Source organism: Homo sapiens, chromosome 18, assembly GCF_000001405.40.
Source record: "Homo sapiens chromosome 18, GRCh38.p14 Primary Assembly".
Classification (NCBI taxonomy): domain Eukaryota; kingdom Metazoa; phylum Chordata; class Mammalia; order Primates; family Hominidae; genus Homo; species Homo sapiens.
Window position 1 is genome coordinate 44,657,215 of NC_000018.10, and position 16,333 is coordinate 44,673,547.

At 38.3% G+C, this 16,333-nt stretch overlaps 1 long non-coding RNA gene across 1 annotated transcript; it reads right to left on the bottom strand.

Annotated features, from left to right (window-relative positions):
- Window positions 1-1,234: 1,234 nt before the first annotated feature.
- Window positions 1,235-7,444, bottom strand: LOC105372089 (uncharacterized). The gene is made up of 4 exons (XR_935417.3): window positions 7,287-7,444; window positions 4,852-4,994; window positions 4,510-4,618; window positions 1,235-1,530 (listed from the first exon to the last, which is right to left on the bottom strand). It is a non-coding gene; the product is annotated as an uncharacterized LOC105372089 (long non-coding RNA).
- Between the last annotated feature and the right edge of the window lie 8,889 nt (window positions 7,445-16,333).

Here is a 16,333-nt window from a genome sequence, read left to right on the forward strand (position 1 = left end):
TGCCCTCCAAAAGAGTTGTGCCAATTTTCCATGAGTGACAGTGCCCATTGCCCCACAACATTGCAGTAAAATGGATCAAATGTTTTGATTTTTGCTTATCTGTTAAGTGAAATATAACATCTCAGTAAAATTTAAATTTGTACTTACTTCTCTTATTATGAGGGATACAAATAATCTGTTCATATATTTAAGATATTCACATTTCTTTAACTGTGAACTGCTTATTCATTTGCTTTGCCCTTTTTCCTGTCAGGTTATTAGTCTAAGAGGCCACATATTTTTTTCTAACCTGTCATGTGCCTTTTGACTCTGCTGACGGTAGGGCTTTGTTTTGTCTTTATAGGAAGAAATCATTTTTTTTTAGCACAATCATAATTATTTATCCTCTCTGGATTCTGAGTTGTGGTTAAATAGACTATTTTTCACCCATTGGACAAAGTTCTGGATTTGATGATATCTAAGTTTGTAGCATAGTGTCAAGCACATTAGATAGGACTCAGCAGGCTAGAGTGTTAGGCCTACGTCCACACTTATCACTAGGCAAACTTTGTCAAATGATGTGACTCTGGTGGATACCCAGCTACAGAATCAACCATTATCCATCCTCTTGTTTTCTGAATAGTATAAGCAGTTAGCTCATGAGAGAAACAGAAATGGCTTCGAAACTAAATAGCCAAATTCATCCTAAATTGAGAATAAATGGTCCCAGGAAATTACATATTAGTAAACCTGGGATGCCAAAACAAGACTGGACGGTTTTACCAACAGAAATTTATTTTCTCACAGTTTTAGAGGCTGGTAAATCCAAGATCAGTGTGGTGGTGAATTGGATGTCTGATAAGGGCTCTCATCCTGACTTGCAGGCAGCCAGCTTCTCACTGTGTCCTCATGTGGCGGAAAGAGAGGGAAGAAGACATTTCTGGCTCTTCCTCTACGTAGAAGTCCACCAACCCTATCAGATTAGGGCTCCACCATTATGTTCTCGTGTAACCTCAATTACCTCCTGAAAGCCCTATGCCCAGATATAGTCACAATAGGGATTAGAGCTTCAATGTGGGTATTGGAAGGGGGCGCTTAATTCCATCCATAGCAAACTGGATAAACAAATTAACCAACTTTGCAATGTAGAAGCAAATTCCTTCAAATATAGATCAAACATCAATACATGAATCTTTCAAAAGCATTAGAATGATCACATCAGAGCAGTAAAGCAAAAGTATCATGGTTAGAATCCTGAGGTTCTATCTTAACATTTATTTCGTTTTGGTTTAACTTCCTTTTTTACAATGAAGTACAGATGAAGGGAGTGGAGAGTGAAGAATGTGTTCCCCAGAAAAGCATCTTAAGAGAGTCTGAAGCTTGGATGTGAGCAGCCCAAATCAGGCCTGATGCTGTGCACCTGCTCAGCTTTGCACCAGGGAAAGCTGCTGGCTTATCACCACCTCAGGCTTTCTCCCATTCCACATCTTCCAGAAATCCCCGGCTCCAAAAACTCAGTTTTCAATTCATGTGGCAGGTAGAAGAGCCAGACTACAAGTACAGTAAAAATATCATGAGGATTTTCACTGGCAAAATGCAAATATAAAAAAGTAACAACATGCCCTTCATCCACTAATTTTATAATTCTTCTGAGACAAGCGATAAAGTTTTTTTTGCCTGGTTTTATTTCTCTTTCTTTATATACACACATAATGTTTCCCATTGTATTCTTTATGTTTACAGATAGTCTCTTTGCTCCATTACTTTCCTAAATCACATGGAAATCACTTGCAGTGTTTCTAGGGCTAAACGAGAGTAAAAACAGGAAAAAGTGGCAAATTGGATGCCAGGGATGGCCCTTAAGCAGGCTGTTCTCACACGGTAACATGCTCTCTCCTTCTGAGGCCTGGTTAAATCTTGACTGAACTAATTGGATTATGCAGTGGTCAGTCTGTTAATGAAAGTGCTGCTCATGTATACAGCACTTTAACTTTCAGAGGATTGCAATATTTACAACCTAATTTTATCCTGATAGTAGCTTGAGTTAATTAACTAGGCTAAAACCTTTATCCTCATTTTCTAGATGACATAACTAAGGACCTGAGAAGTCTAGATTTATGGTGTCCAAGCTGAAAGTCTAGTTCATGTCTTGGGTATCCTGACTTAATTGATCATTTTGGCTTGTGCTACTTGAATTCAGCTTGAAGCTGGCTGAAATGACATGGTTGACCAAACCACTGCCAGTCAGAAACTCAGCCTCAGGCAACTGCTGCTGAAAGGAAAAAGGAGCCTTGGATCTATGTAGACAGCTACACTAGTCAAGTCTGATCAAATTTATTTATTCCCAGAATTATTGGATCAAGGTGGTTCAGACAACTTGTGTCTATACAGAGCAAAAAGATACTGAGGAACTAAATCAGTTACCTATAAATTTCTGACTTGAGGGTCCTAACTGCATTGAATCACTAACATTTGGTTAAGGATTGGCTTCCATTAATAGACATAGGCATTTTCTCCTTGGAAAAAGAAATGTTCTGTGAATAGTCTTTTAATTAAATAGCCACAATTGTATCATGAATGCCACTAGAGAAGGTAGAGTGAAGGAGTCATGCTAAAGTGGGATCTTAGGGGTGAAAAGTGGGATGATGGACATACACAATAAGTCAGAGAGGCAATAAAATAAAGTGACTGTAACAAGAAAACCATGAAGAAGGCATCAAACCCTACATGGGCTGTAACCATACTTGTAATGATCACTTAGTTGCTCCTTTCAACCATGAAATGTCAGGCATGGAATCATAGAATTTCAATCTTTAAAATTCCTGTATGGTTAATATTTTTCTCATGACATTTGTCACATCACATATATTTAAAGAATTTGAAAAGTACAAAGAAGAAAAGAACATTCATCCATATTCCTACCCATCATTAGACACCTTGGTGTCTTTAGGGTCCTATCCTCCACAAATCAGTTCCCTGATGCTGATACTGGTTCCTCCATGTGTCCCACAGCAGACTCACCCAGGACTGGACTTGAAAACCCAAAAGCTTTCCTTGCTGTCTGCCCTTATCTAACCACTGAAGCCTTGTGTTCTGTTCTTTCCCCTCCAGGCTTGGTTTCCAGATTTCCAAGAATACAGCCAGCTACTCTGGTAACCAATTTGTGCCAACATGTTGATTAATGGATACAAATGTGCAAATCACACCAACCTTTCTTCTCTCCTGGGTGATCTGTATGTTTTAGCTGTGAGATGCCTTCTGGAGCTGTAAGGCTTGATGCAATGGAAATAGCCATTGTGGAACCCAACCGAGAACTCTTTGGTAGCACCCGCATATCACACTAAATAGGCAACCACTTGTTGCAACTAACACTTAGTCAGCTTCTTTTGCCAGATGGTGAAAGCCGTAGATAAAAGAACCCAGAAATCCAACCCAAACTAGTTACTGAAAGGGCCCGGATAAAACTTGGCTCCACAGATGCTCATGAGCTGGGAAATGGCAGGCAAACATGCAGTGAGTTATGGAAGTCATGCAACAGCCCTGGCCTTCTCTGAGATTCATTTTTTTGCAGAAAGGATATAGTAACAGCTAAATTGGGTCAGATCTGCTGCAGTGGCTGGAATAAAATAACAAAGACAAAAGCTTGCTGTGCAAAGAATTATAGGACACATGAAACCCCATGAGACTATCTATGCTATTATTCACCAAGGCGAGCCTTAGATGTACCCGGAGAGACGTCTGCCTTCACCACAATTCTGGGTTTCAAGATAATGATGTTGGATGTTCCAGCCTCAGAACTGTGGTGAAAACTCCTAACATCATACCAGTGTCTTTGCATATCCCTGGCTATTGGGTTGGTGATAAAATAAAGGGAGCACTCTATACCTGCTCCAAACGGCTTTTGGCTGAGATTCTAACATTATAATAGCATTGGAAATTAACAATGTGCTAGAAATGTTTTGTCTATATTATGTAAACTTTATAATAACGATGAAGACAGATATGTATTTACAGAAAGAGAAACTGACTCCCCAAATTTTTACATAATGGGCTTGTGGTCATACTGTTAGCAAAGGGACAAAGCTAATATTGACATTTGGGTCTACATGGCCCTGAAGAACGTCTTTTTATTATTATGCCAAGTTATTTCTAAGATGCAAATGAGTCTGTGGAAATTCAAAAGATGCTTTTTTTTTGAGACCGAGTCTCACTCTGTCGCCCAGGGTTGAGCTCAGTGGCATAATCTTGGCTGACTGCAACCTCTGCCTCCAGGATTGAAGCGATTCTCCTGCCTCAGCCTCCCAAGTAGCTAGGATTACAGGCGTCCACCACCATGCCCAACTATTGTTTTTGTAATTTTAGTAGAGACGAAGTTTCACCATGTTGGCCAGGCTGGTCTCGATCTCCTGACCTCAGGTGATCCACCCGCCTCGGCCTCCCAAAGTGCTGGGATTGCAGGTGTGAGCCACCACACCTGGCCAAAAATGCTTTTCTTTTAGTTAGTCTCCATAAAGGTTGTATGATACTCACCCAGAGATTAAAGGCAATACACAGATGGAATGGCAATTCATCATAACTTCCAATTATTTAATTCACCTTCAGATTTCCACCCGTCAACTTCCTTTATTCCTTAAAATATCTGTGAGGTTAAAACACAAAATGTAAATGGTAGAAGAGGTTCAGCACAAATCCATCTTCCCCATCACTTTCAAAGACTACTTAACCTCCACCTAAGACATTCTGAGTTTGTTAAATGATAAATCCAAGTCAGCCAGGGGTCTCCAGAGGCCTTTTTGCTCTGTTCAGGACTACAGTTAGATGACTTCCAATTATTTTCCCCTTCCTAAGGATTCACAAAGATCAGTGTGTTACCTGAATGATGAGGCCAGATACTCTGAATTCAGATTTAGCATTTCCCAGTTTCACCCCTTCCCTCTCCATCTCAACGTTGTTTTTTCCAAGGAGTCTGTTACTTCCCTAGTAACCAGAGTAGGACAGGGCAGGTGCCATTCCCACTGTAGGGTACATGCAATGAGAGGAAGAAATTAACACCCTTACATATATACAGGGCAGTCCATTAATAGTCTAAGTTGAATTAATTAAGGCAATTACTAGTTTTCCCCTAAAAAGCAGAACACTTTAAACTCAGGGGGAAAAAACCAGAAAGTAGAAAAATATTATCTGAAGAAAGAGGCTATTTAAAAGCATGGAGCCTTGGAAAGTGCTATAACTCCTGGCAGATCTTGGAGGGCTCAGGAATGGGTCTCATGTTGCCTGAAAAAAAAATAATTTAACCTGGTTTTGCCTGGAACACTGAAGATTAACTCATGATTTGCACATAGAATAATCATTAAGGCAAAAGTTTTCACCTATTGATGATCTTTGCTCTAGAACTAAAACTTTACTGTAGAACAAAAACTAAAATCGATGTTCCCTATTTGCCAATTTTACACCCTTTGAGGTGTTAACCATAAATGTGTAAGCTTCAGATTTTCATTTCAGGTACAAACTAATATTTTAACAGGAAACCTCTGGTAACAATGTCATAACACAATAAAATCAGTCTATGGATACTCATTTCACTTAATGAGGCAGATAAGTTTGGCTAGGAAGGGCCATATAGTAATATAAATTCTCCTTAAGAACCAATCAAAAGTATGTAATGTGTATTGACTTTGGAATTCAAGCACAATGAAACCTTACTTACTCTGCATAATGTGGTCATTATTACTACACTATTAGTTTATTGAGCCACAGGAATATTAACATTATATCCTGTTGAAGAGCCTTGATTAGTTAGGAGTAGGTCAGAGAGTGAAAGTAAGTGAAGAAAATTCTAACCTAACAGTTAGAAACTACAAGAGCGTTGATTTTTTATGTAAAATATGGGTAGATGATCCTGGACTGACATAGTACTCTGAGATACCATGCTCCTTTAGTGCATAGTCTCAATCTCTTGGTCCAAGTGGCAGCAACTGCATTCTAGGTACTGTGTTAGTATGGAGAAAAGAAATGTCAGGAAAGGCATTTCCTGAAATTGTATATACCACTTTTACTATCATGACATTGGCCGGAATCATTCGGCCATGACTTGGTGCAGAGGAGGCTGGAAGTGTAATCTTTATTCCCAGTATTCATAAAAAATGTGGAAATTCTATTATTTTGGGGGAAGAATGAGTGAATTGACATCAGGTTATTTACCACAAGCTCTATTAAGAATTAGGCAAAAACTGGAAGAGAAGCCATCAAAGCTCAATGTGTGCATGTGGATGGGTGAGAAGGTGTGTGCTTTGTTTGTATTTTTCATAGCATCTATAACAGACATCTCCTTGCTGATGGGTTTCTACTCAAGAGACAAGACATGCATGTGGGGAAAGATATCGAGAGATACAGGTGGGAAACCAGAAGAGCCAATGAGTGATAGAAATGGGATGTGCAGTGGTTCTTCAGAGGATACAGGTTTTACTGTAGTCTTCAGCAGTAGGCTTCTGGGAGGAGTTGAGGGTTGAGGAAGGCCCCTGAAAATGCTGACATTCATAAGTAGGCAGAGAAGAGGAAGAAAAGACCAGGGAAGGGACATAGAATATTAAGCAATGGCATAAAAAGAAGAGTAAGTCTAATCCGGCTACAATATCCCTGCTGCACAGTGTAAGACAAACATTTTTCATTTTTAGTTTCTGTCATTTCAAATATTTATTTAATACAAATATTTCTTTTCTTTTCTTTCTTTTTTTGTTTTTGAGATAGAATCTTGCTCTGTTGCCAGGCTGGAGTGCAGTGGTGCACTCTCATCTTATTACAACCTCCGCCTCCCGGGTTCAAGTGATTCTTCTGCCTCAGCCCCCTGAGTAGCTGGGACTACAGGCACACACAACCACACCCAGCTAATTTTTACATTTTTAGTAGAGATGGAGTTTCACCATGTTGGCCAGGATGGTCTCAATCTCTTGACCTCGTGATCCTCCCGCCTCAGCCTCCCAAAGTGCTGGGATTACAGGCGTGAGCCACCATGCGCGGTTACAAATACTTCTTTAATGCCCAGTCTGCATCTAATACCTAAGAGTCATGCACCTAAGAGCCATGACTCCATTCAGAACCCTTTCCTTGAGAACCACGTAAATTATTCAAATAAATATTTTAGGGAAATATATAAAATTATATAAGGCTTAGTGTACAGAATCGGGTGAAATAATGGTGGAAAAGAGCTGAGACATGTAGACCAAACAGAATCAAAATCAATAATTAATCTGAATTAACCAGGTAATAGAAAGGAGAGGATTATAGGGTTAAAAATAAAAGACAAAAACCTGATGAACTTAAATAATCATCTCCTCTTGTTTTTTGTCTATGAAGTGTCAGAGAAGGGTTTCTTCTTTTCTTCCTTCTTTTCTTTTTTTTCTTTCTCAGTGTAGACGTTCCTATTAGACTATAAGCTTGAGGAATGCCAGGACTACATCTGTCTTCATTGCTGCTCTACTTCCAGTGCCTAGCAAATTGAAAATGCAAAAATATTTGCTGAATCAAATTGAAATCTTAATCACAAATATGTATATGTATGCATTTAAGAATATTACTTGTGTAACACATATAAATGCAAACCCAAATATATATAATTAAAAATAGGCTCATAAACAAATTTGATTGCAGAACACCAAATTTTAAAATTTTTTGTACTTATTTAAACAATGACTGGAAGCAGCTCAGAAATGTTTGACTGTATGCAGGTCAATGATAAGAACACAATAGTTATATTTTGCTGGTAAAGTCATTTTAAACTTGTGAATCATGTACCTACATATGAGTGTTTAAGAAACTATTTAACCTTTTACAAAATATTGTCTTTGGGTTTATTAATTTATTGTATCTTTACTGTCTTTTTAATTAATTTCTGCTATTATTTAAAATATTTATTATTTCCTTTCTTCTGCTTGTATAGATTTATTTTGCTGTTCTTTTTCCTAACTTCTGTAAACTGATAATGAGATGATTGATTGATTGATTTTTTAGCTTCTACAATTTTCCATTATATATGTTAGGGCTACAAGTTTTATTCAAATCATGACTTTAGCTGCATTGCCAAAGTTTCATTATATTGTATTTCAGTTAGTTATAATCTATCATCGTGATTTTTATTGTGATTTCTTCTTTGACTCATGAACTATTTAGAAGTACATTGCTTAATTCCAGATAGGGATTTTATGATTTTAATGGATTACCTCTTTGATACTAATTTATAGCTAATGCCATTTTTTAATTTTAATTTTTGTGGGTACATACTAGGTACATTTAATATTATTTATTTATTCTTTTTTTTTTTTTTTTTTTTGTAAAAGCAGGGTCTCCCTATATTGCCAAGGCTGGTCTTGAATTCCTGGGCTCAAGCGATCTTCTTATTTCAGCCTCCCAAAATGCTGGCATTACAGGTGTGAGCCACCATGCCCGGCCAGTTAATTTTATTTTGATCAGAGATCATTCTGTGACTTTTAAAATGTTTTAATCCTTTGAAATACGTTAAATCATGCTTTATAGTTCATGAGCCATGCACATCTTTCCAGTTTTTCCATTTGTCTATGCTTGAGGCTGGATATATTTTATTGTCCTAACTGCCAGTTTACCAGTCCTCTCTTTCATTGTATTTAATCTGCCAATAAACCCATTTATAAAACCCTTACTTTCTGTCACCGAGTTTTTTCTTCTAGAATTTCTATTTCTTTTCTTTTTAATAAGAGGTATGCATCTGGTTAACTTTTGCAACTTCTCTTTTTCTAAATATGTAAATAGCAGGTATTTTACAATCCGTAACTGATAACTCCAAAATCTGGATAACATTTTACTGCTTTATTCTTTTTTCTTTTATTCATCTTTTTAAATGCTTAGTAACTTTTTAAGTTTTTTAATTTGACACAGAATAGATGTACATCTTTTCAGAGTATATGTGATAATTTAGTATATTCAAATATATGTCTTTTCTTTATGCATATTATTCTCTTTTAGCTACTTTAAAATGTACAATAGATTGTTGTAAACTATAGTCACTCTACTGACCTATTGAACACTAGGTCTTTTTTCTTTTATCTAACTGTGTATTTGTACATATTAATAAACCTCTTTTCATTCCTCTCCTATGAGTCCTAACCTTGGGGAACTCGTAATGCCTAGTACTATTGATTGAATGCTAGATATTATGTACAAAAATTACAGAAGTTCTGGTCAATGTCACATTCATCTGGAAAAAATGTATTTTTGATCTTTATGAGCAGTTTACCTTAATTTAGTCAGATATTGAACTGATTTGGAGCTGGACTTCTATCACTCTAAGGCCTATTCCATTTTGATCAGAGATCATTGTGTTTCTAGGTTACCCTTACCTTTAAGATGAAGGCTTCAGGAATTTTAGATGAAAGCCTGGGAATACTTATCAGAACTCCTCTTTCTTGGTGGAGCCTGAACTATAAATTTTTTTTCACATATTTTGTCTGCACAATAACTCTGTTTAGATTTTTAGCCTGTTAGTGTGTTTTCTCTTTGACCTCTCAATCTCCTGTTTGGGAACCATCATACTCCTCACTAGGAAAAACGGTATAAGAGTTTAATTATTTGTGTTTTTCTTCTCAGTGTCTTTGGTCCTTCAAGTCCTAGCTGCCTTGGAAGCCCTAAACTGCATTTTTTTTTTCTTCTCAGTTTCTGATATTATCAGACTCTGCTCAGCTCTTCTACCTTTTTGCTTCTACTTTCTACTTCGTTTTTCAGACTCTTGCTTTATGTGAGTTTTCTGAATCAGCAAATGCTTTGAGGAAAGAAATAGTGAAGACTACCAGGTTTTCCTCAATGCATTTTCCTTTTTGAGAGAATCCTGGCACCTAACGTTTTGACTTCCTTGATTGTTCTCAAATGCCTTCGAAGAGATGTGCTTTATTCTAAGCAGGTGAGTAGGTACAATGCAAGTTACTCCATTGTAGCCGGAAACAGAAATCTATTTATTTCTCCATATAACTAAAAACCTACTATAAGTTACCCTTAGTGTTAACCTCAAGTTCTGCTTAGCCAGCAAAGTCATGTAGAGTGATACAGAGAGCTGGGGAATTTCAATAACAGAGTAGAGGGAGATCACGGTAGAGAAGGATCTGGTTGGAGCTTGCAAATAATCTGGTAACTACTCCTGAGAAGGTGATCCAATCGGTTGTTGCCTCCTCTGGCCAGGACTCCTGTATGTCTTCAGCTGAACTGCTTCCCTTCTCTAGGTCTCTTTCCCCCCCAAGGCCAGAGTCTCCTGAATGTTAGTGTGTATGGCCAGGTAGGACCCCATTTGTGTTTTCCTTCTCTGTGACTTTGGCCCTTCAAGTCCTAGCTGCCTTGAAAGCCCTATGGTGCATTTTTTTTCCTTCTCAGCTTCTGATATTGTCAAACTCTGCTCAGCTTTTCTACCTTTTAGCTTCTACCTTCTACCTGCTGTTTCAGACGCTTGCTCCATGTGGGTTTTCTGAATCAGCAAATGCCTTAAGGAAAGAAATAGTGTAGAATATCAGGTTTCCCTCAGTGCATCTTCCTTTTTGAGAGAATCTTGTACTTTACATTTTGACTTCCTTGCAGTACCTCTTCAGAATCACAAGGGCTAAACAGGTAAGTATCTGATCTAGGCACTACAGGGAAAGCTTGATGATAAATACAGAAAATAGTTTATGCAGATGTTTGTTTGTGGGGAGGTATCAAATGTTAGGGATGAGTTGTGGCATGGAGAAATCTATGGCAAGGAAAATCCCTAGTAGTAGTTAGTATCCAATAAATACTTTGAAATCACTGAAGCAGAGTGCTTCTTTCCCTCCTTCACTTAAAATCCCCTGGGCAAGACAGAACACTTGTATTTATACTAGAGATACAATACTTCTGATTTTTTTTCCAAGCTAACAGATTTAGCTAACTAACTGAAAACTAGACCTTGAGTAAAAGCTACTGAGTAGATAAGAGAAACTGTTTTTACAATGTATGAGGACATTTTCAGCAGCATCTCTCATGCTGCCTCCTCAGTTCTCCTGCTGGTGTCTTCCCTCCCTCTTCACAATAGACAGACTGATTTCCACATAAACTTAAATCCCATTCAAACCAATCTGATTTAAGGAAAAATTTTAAGTAATCTTTTCATCTCCCTTTTAACCAATAGGGTGATAAAAAGAAACTGGTTTGTGCAAGTCTTGTTGGAGCAGCCTAACATGATCTGGTGCTGAATATTTAATTTCCTGCCAGGATAGCCTATTTCTGTACTGATCATTGGACATGACTCACTGCCCTACAGTGGTTCCACTCTGACCAGTAGGATCCCTCCACTGAAGTTTCAGAAACAGAGATGCCTTCTTGGACATCCCCTCTGTGGATTCGTAGAACTCCCCATTTGCTGTAATCTCTATTATGACCATCATTTCCCATTGGTCTGATTTGCCTTGTATCCGCATTGCCAGATGTAGGTCCCTGCCTTAGTCTTGCAATCTCCTTCCTTCTCCCGGGGTCATGAGCAGGTCTTCCAGAGGCTGGTGGCAGGGTGTTGCCACCCTAGATTTACTCTCACAGTGTCCTGTCTGCTTATTGGCACACCCACAACTTTATCTTTGACTCTTTATCTCCATTGTGTCTAAACTTAGTGTCGCTGGGGGAAGGCTTGCCCTGCTTATCTTGCTGACCCATGGCTTTCAGCCATGACTTTTACCCAAAGTCTGTCACACCTTCTTCACAGACACAGCATTAAGTTCCAACTCTTTTCACACCTGCTCTGGCACAACTAATAAATATATAAATCCTAAGATAAGGAATATAATTGCCTTCTATCAGCCTTGTGTTTTATTATGCTAGAGAAAAGGCGTAGTCACTACTTTCATTAAAGAGGCATTCTTATTGAAAGACTAGCATGCACAAACAAGTCAACATTTTATCTTATGCATGAAGGTTTAAGAAAGTTAAGTTTTATTAGCTTGTTCATTTTATTTTTCCTTTCTGTTCTCAAACTTGAGAATATTGGTTAGAGGTAATTGCGTTATACATCACAATGCTGCAACCATATACAGGTTGCTGCAGTGGTTAAAGCATTAGATACAGATAGTAATACTATCTAAAAGTTGTTACATCACCATAAACAGAATTTTATTATTATCATTATTATTATTATTAGAGACGATAGCTCACTCTGCCACCCAGACTGGAGTGCAGTGGCACAGTCACAAGTTAGAGCAGCCTATACCTCCCAGGCTCAAGCAATCTTCTCACCCCAGCCTCCCGAGTAGCTAGGACCACAGGTGTGTACTACCATGCCTAGCTATTAAAAACAAATGTTTTGTAGAGATGGGGTCTCCCTATGTTGTCCAGGTCGGTCTCAAACTCCTGGGCTCAAATGATCCTGCTTCTTCGGCCTCCCGAAGTGCTGGGATTATAAGAGTGATCCACGGCACCTAGCCCACAAACAGAATTTTAAATGACTTGATGAAATGATACAAAAAATAAATATAATCCAGGTGATGTGGAAACCACTCTCATTTGCTTGCCATCTTATGTGTCAGACACTGTGCTCTACTGTCTTATACACATCATCTCATTGTTTAGAGAGAAGGAACTGACGGTGGAGAAGTTGAGGAATAAAATGAAAATGAATATACACACACATATAATTTAATCGGTTGAAAAAAATGTCAGACAGGGCTTGATGAAAATTATTTTTAGATACAAGTTTTTTTCCCCAATTTTAAATAATGGATGATACAGAGTGATTAGAGACAATATTATGGGTTTCCACAATATTGTCCATAAGGAAATGTATTCATTTATAATACTATGGGAGATGTCCAGGTGTATATGACTTTGGTAAAATTGACTGAGGATCTGGATAAGCAAAGTTGTGAGTTATTGTACTCAATCATCATTTTTTATTGAATTCAGAGGGATCTTCAATCAACTTCTCTGCTGACCTGAAACTAAGGGATTTAAGCATCTATCTGGATTAAATGTATCTCCCAGGCTAGGATGGAATCTTACCTTTCATAGTATATTCCACAGTCCCTACCATTGTGTCCAGTGGCTTATAATATTAAGGATGGATGTAGCCTACATTTTCAATATGAATATATGACATTGTAATTATTAATTTTTCTTTGCAAAAAGTGTGCCAACCATTTTCAGAAATACCTCATACATATTTCATACTTACGGCTTGTTTTTAACCTCTCAAAATATTGTTTCTTTTACTTTTACTCTGAAACATTTTGTTACTTTCAATTATTACAAGACAAAAATTTAAGTAATTGGCTGAGAGAATATTGGTCTAAATGAAACATTCAACCCAATTTTGTTTTCTTTGGACCACCGTTTAAATGGAAAATGAACAATTGCAAAGTGTATGTCAAATTATTTTCTCAAAGAGATACTGCCCAGATATCTCTCCTTTGAAGGCTCACTGAGATGGCCATTTGCCGAACCTCCTAGTTCCTAGTTTTCTTTTTCCTGGTGTGCATTGGTCTGCAGAAAGTGTAACCAAGCCCTGGCATCTGAATACAATGGGAAGGACTCTGAAACTACAGCCCAATGTGCTAGTTTTAAATCTGGCTTTATTACCTGCATGCTTATCTTTCTGGTTCTCAGTTTTCTCTCATCACGAAAATGAATTGTTTTGGTCCAAGTGATCTCTAACAAACTGCCAGCTCTTTAATTTGAAGTCTCAATGATTTGTTTAGTTTAGAAGGCTGAAATCAACAAGCCTATTCAATACTTACTAAAGAGGCCATGTAAGGAGCATCCAGGTATCTCTTTGCTGCTTTCTGGCTAGGCAGTCGTGCAATAGAATGGCTATGTGAAGCAATGGATAAGAGGATGGGCTCTGGAGTCAAATTACCGGGCTTTAAATCCCAGTTCCAACAACTACTGGGTGTAAAACTTTCCTCAATTTGTCTCAGTTTCCCAACTGGTTCAGTTCCATGGATCTTGTATTGAATCACTTGGAGCTGGGGTTGAACCAAATGACATTTTTAAAGATCTATCTAGTGTCAAGATCCACAGTACTATATTTGATAGGTGCGCTGATGCAAATAACTATCAAGGAACAAAGAGTGACTCTGTGGATTTCAACTTCAGAGTTTGAAATGAATCCAATGTTCAGGAAGCAGAGCTCAAATTAATGTTTTCCCATGGCCATCCTCCTACCATTAAAAAACTGTCCTCTACCCAGATCTCTCTAATGCTCATATGATGTTCACCAAACTAAGAACCAACTCTATTTAGCAATAATAGGCTGACAATTTCACATGTTTCTAAAATACTCCATGGTAAACCTGAATGATCTAGCTAGGACTAGCCAGGTTCCTTTCTATCTATGTCCTTTGCTTCTTTTCAAGGCAGTTCAAGTTGTCCATAAAAGCTTGCATCTTAACTGTGGCTTACTTGGATCTCTCTCTTCTTTCCATCTCTTAGCTTCATAGTATCATATAGATAGAGAACACTTTATAGGTCATCTCACCTAAGCTCTTTCCTATAAGATAATCCCTTCTATACACTCACATTAGTCAATAGCAGATATAGTTCCATATCATGTCTTGTATTTTTTTCTTACTGTTTACATGTCGTCTTGTCTGACAAAATTGCAAGCTGCATGAGATAGGCATATTAGTCCATTTTCACACTGCTGTGAAGAAATAGCTGAGACTGGGTAATTTACAAAGAAAAGAGGTTTAATTAACTCACAGTTCCTCATTGCTGGGGAGGCCTCAGGAAACTTACAATCATGGCAGAAAGGGAAGCAAACACATCCTTCTTCACATGGCAGGAAAGAGAAGTGCAGAGTGAAGAGGAGGAAAGCCCCTTATGAAACCATCAGCTCTCATGAGAACTCACTATCAAAAGAACAGCATGGGGGAACTGCCCCCATAATCTAATCACCTCCCACGTGGTCCCGCCTACAACACATGGGGATTATGGGAACTATTAATACAATTCAAGATGAGACTTGGGTGGGAGCATAGCCAAACCATATCACAAGGGAAGGGCTGTGTATGGAGGACTCTTCTGCTACTAATAGCTAGAGCTGGCCTTGGGTATGAGGTTAAGAATAAGCAGTAACCTCTGTTCTTCAGGTTCAAACACTAAGAGATGAAAGCAGTAGAATGACAGATTGGGTTCACATACATTGCATGAGTCTCTTTAAAAAACTAAAAGTTATCAAGGTGAAAAACATTTCATCATAGTTTTTATATTTGCAGTACCAAGTTCAGGTCAAATATACTAAGTTCTAATGAACGTTTATTGACAAATACATATGCTATGTATCTCCTGTACTCTCACAGCCCCTAACATAACCTTGGCCACATAGGTGCTTTTCATACATTATTTCATTTAACTGCATTTAATCCTCATTGAAACTCTAAAGAGTTGGTGCTACTATCTATAAGCTCATTTTTTTCAGATGAAGAAGCTAAAATGCAGAGAGGTAGCTTGACTAGTTTTCCTCAGGGTGAGTCAAATTCAAACCTGTCTAACTTCAAATCCAAATTCTTCTCCTGTTACAAGATGACCTTGTGTTGCAAGTATGTAAATTCACGGAGAGTCTTTACTCTTCATTCTAAATCGACCTGGAGGGCCAGCCCCATCTTTGACACATTCCCTGTAGTCCTGCTGAAGAAGTGCTTGGGGCTACTGGGCCACGGGGGTACCATCTTCTTGGCCTCAGCCATGGGTACCAGGAATGTGCCTTTGACGCACTGAAGGCAATCAGATATTTTCCTATGAGGAAGCTGTATTCCAGAAAAGATTGCCAAAACAGTTGGAGGTTATCATGGAGGGTTAGGAAAACCAAAGTCAGATGTAAGCTAAAGTTATATAGGAGCAAAAGCAAGAATCTTGCAAAGAAAATTTGTCTCCAGATGGATAAAAAGAAACACAGGCAGGCAAGAGTCAGTATGGCCCTGGAGAGGGAGACAGAGGAGCTGCCTGGCAACTTCCCAATTCCCATGAGGCCTGACTATACTTCTGATATCTGTCTTCTAGGAGGTTCACCTTTATCTTTTTAATAGATTCCCTTTTAACGTAAACAAGCCATCCCTACAATGACCTTTCTGTGCATCCCTTTTTCTCTTACAGCCCATGTGGGTGGGATTTTTAGGGAGAAAGAAGAACCTCCATGATTCTGTGGTATTCCTCTGAGATCTCTTTTTGGCTCCTATGCCAACAGAGTGATATAAACATAAACTCCTGACGGCAGGGCTCCTAAGGCCCTGCTAGGAATTGGGAACATTTCAAATATTGCTTCATATTTGGAGCACTCTGAAGTCGCAGTGACAAATTTACCAAAGAGCCAGAAAATGAAAACCCAGAAGAATGCTCTTCTCTA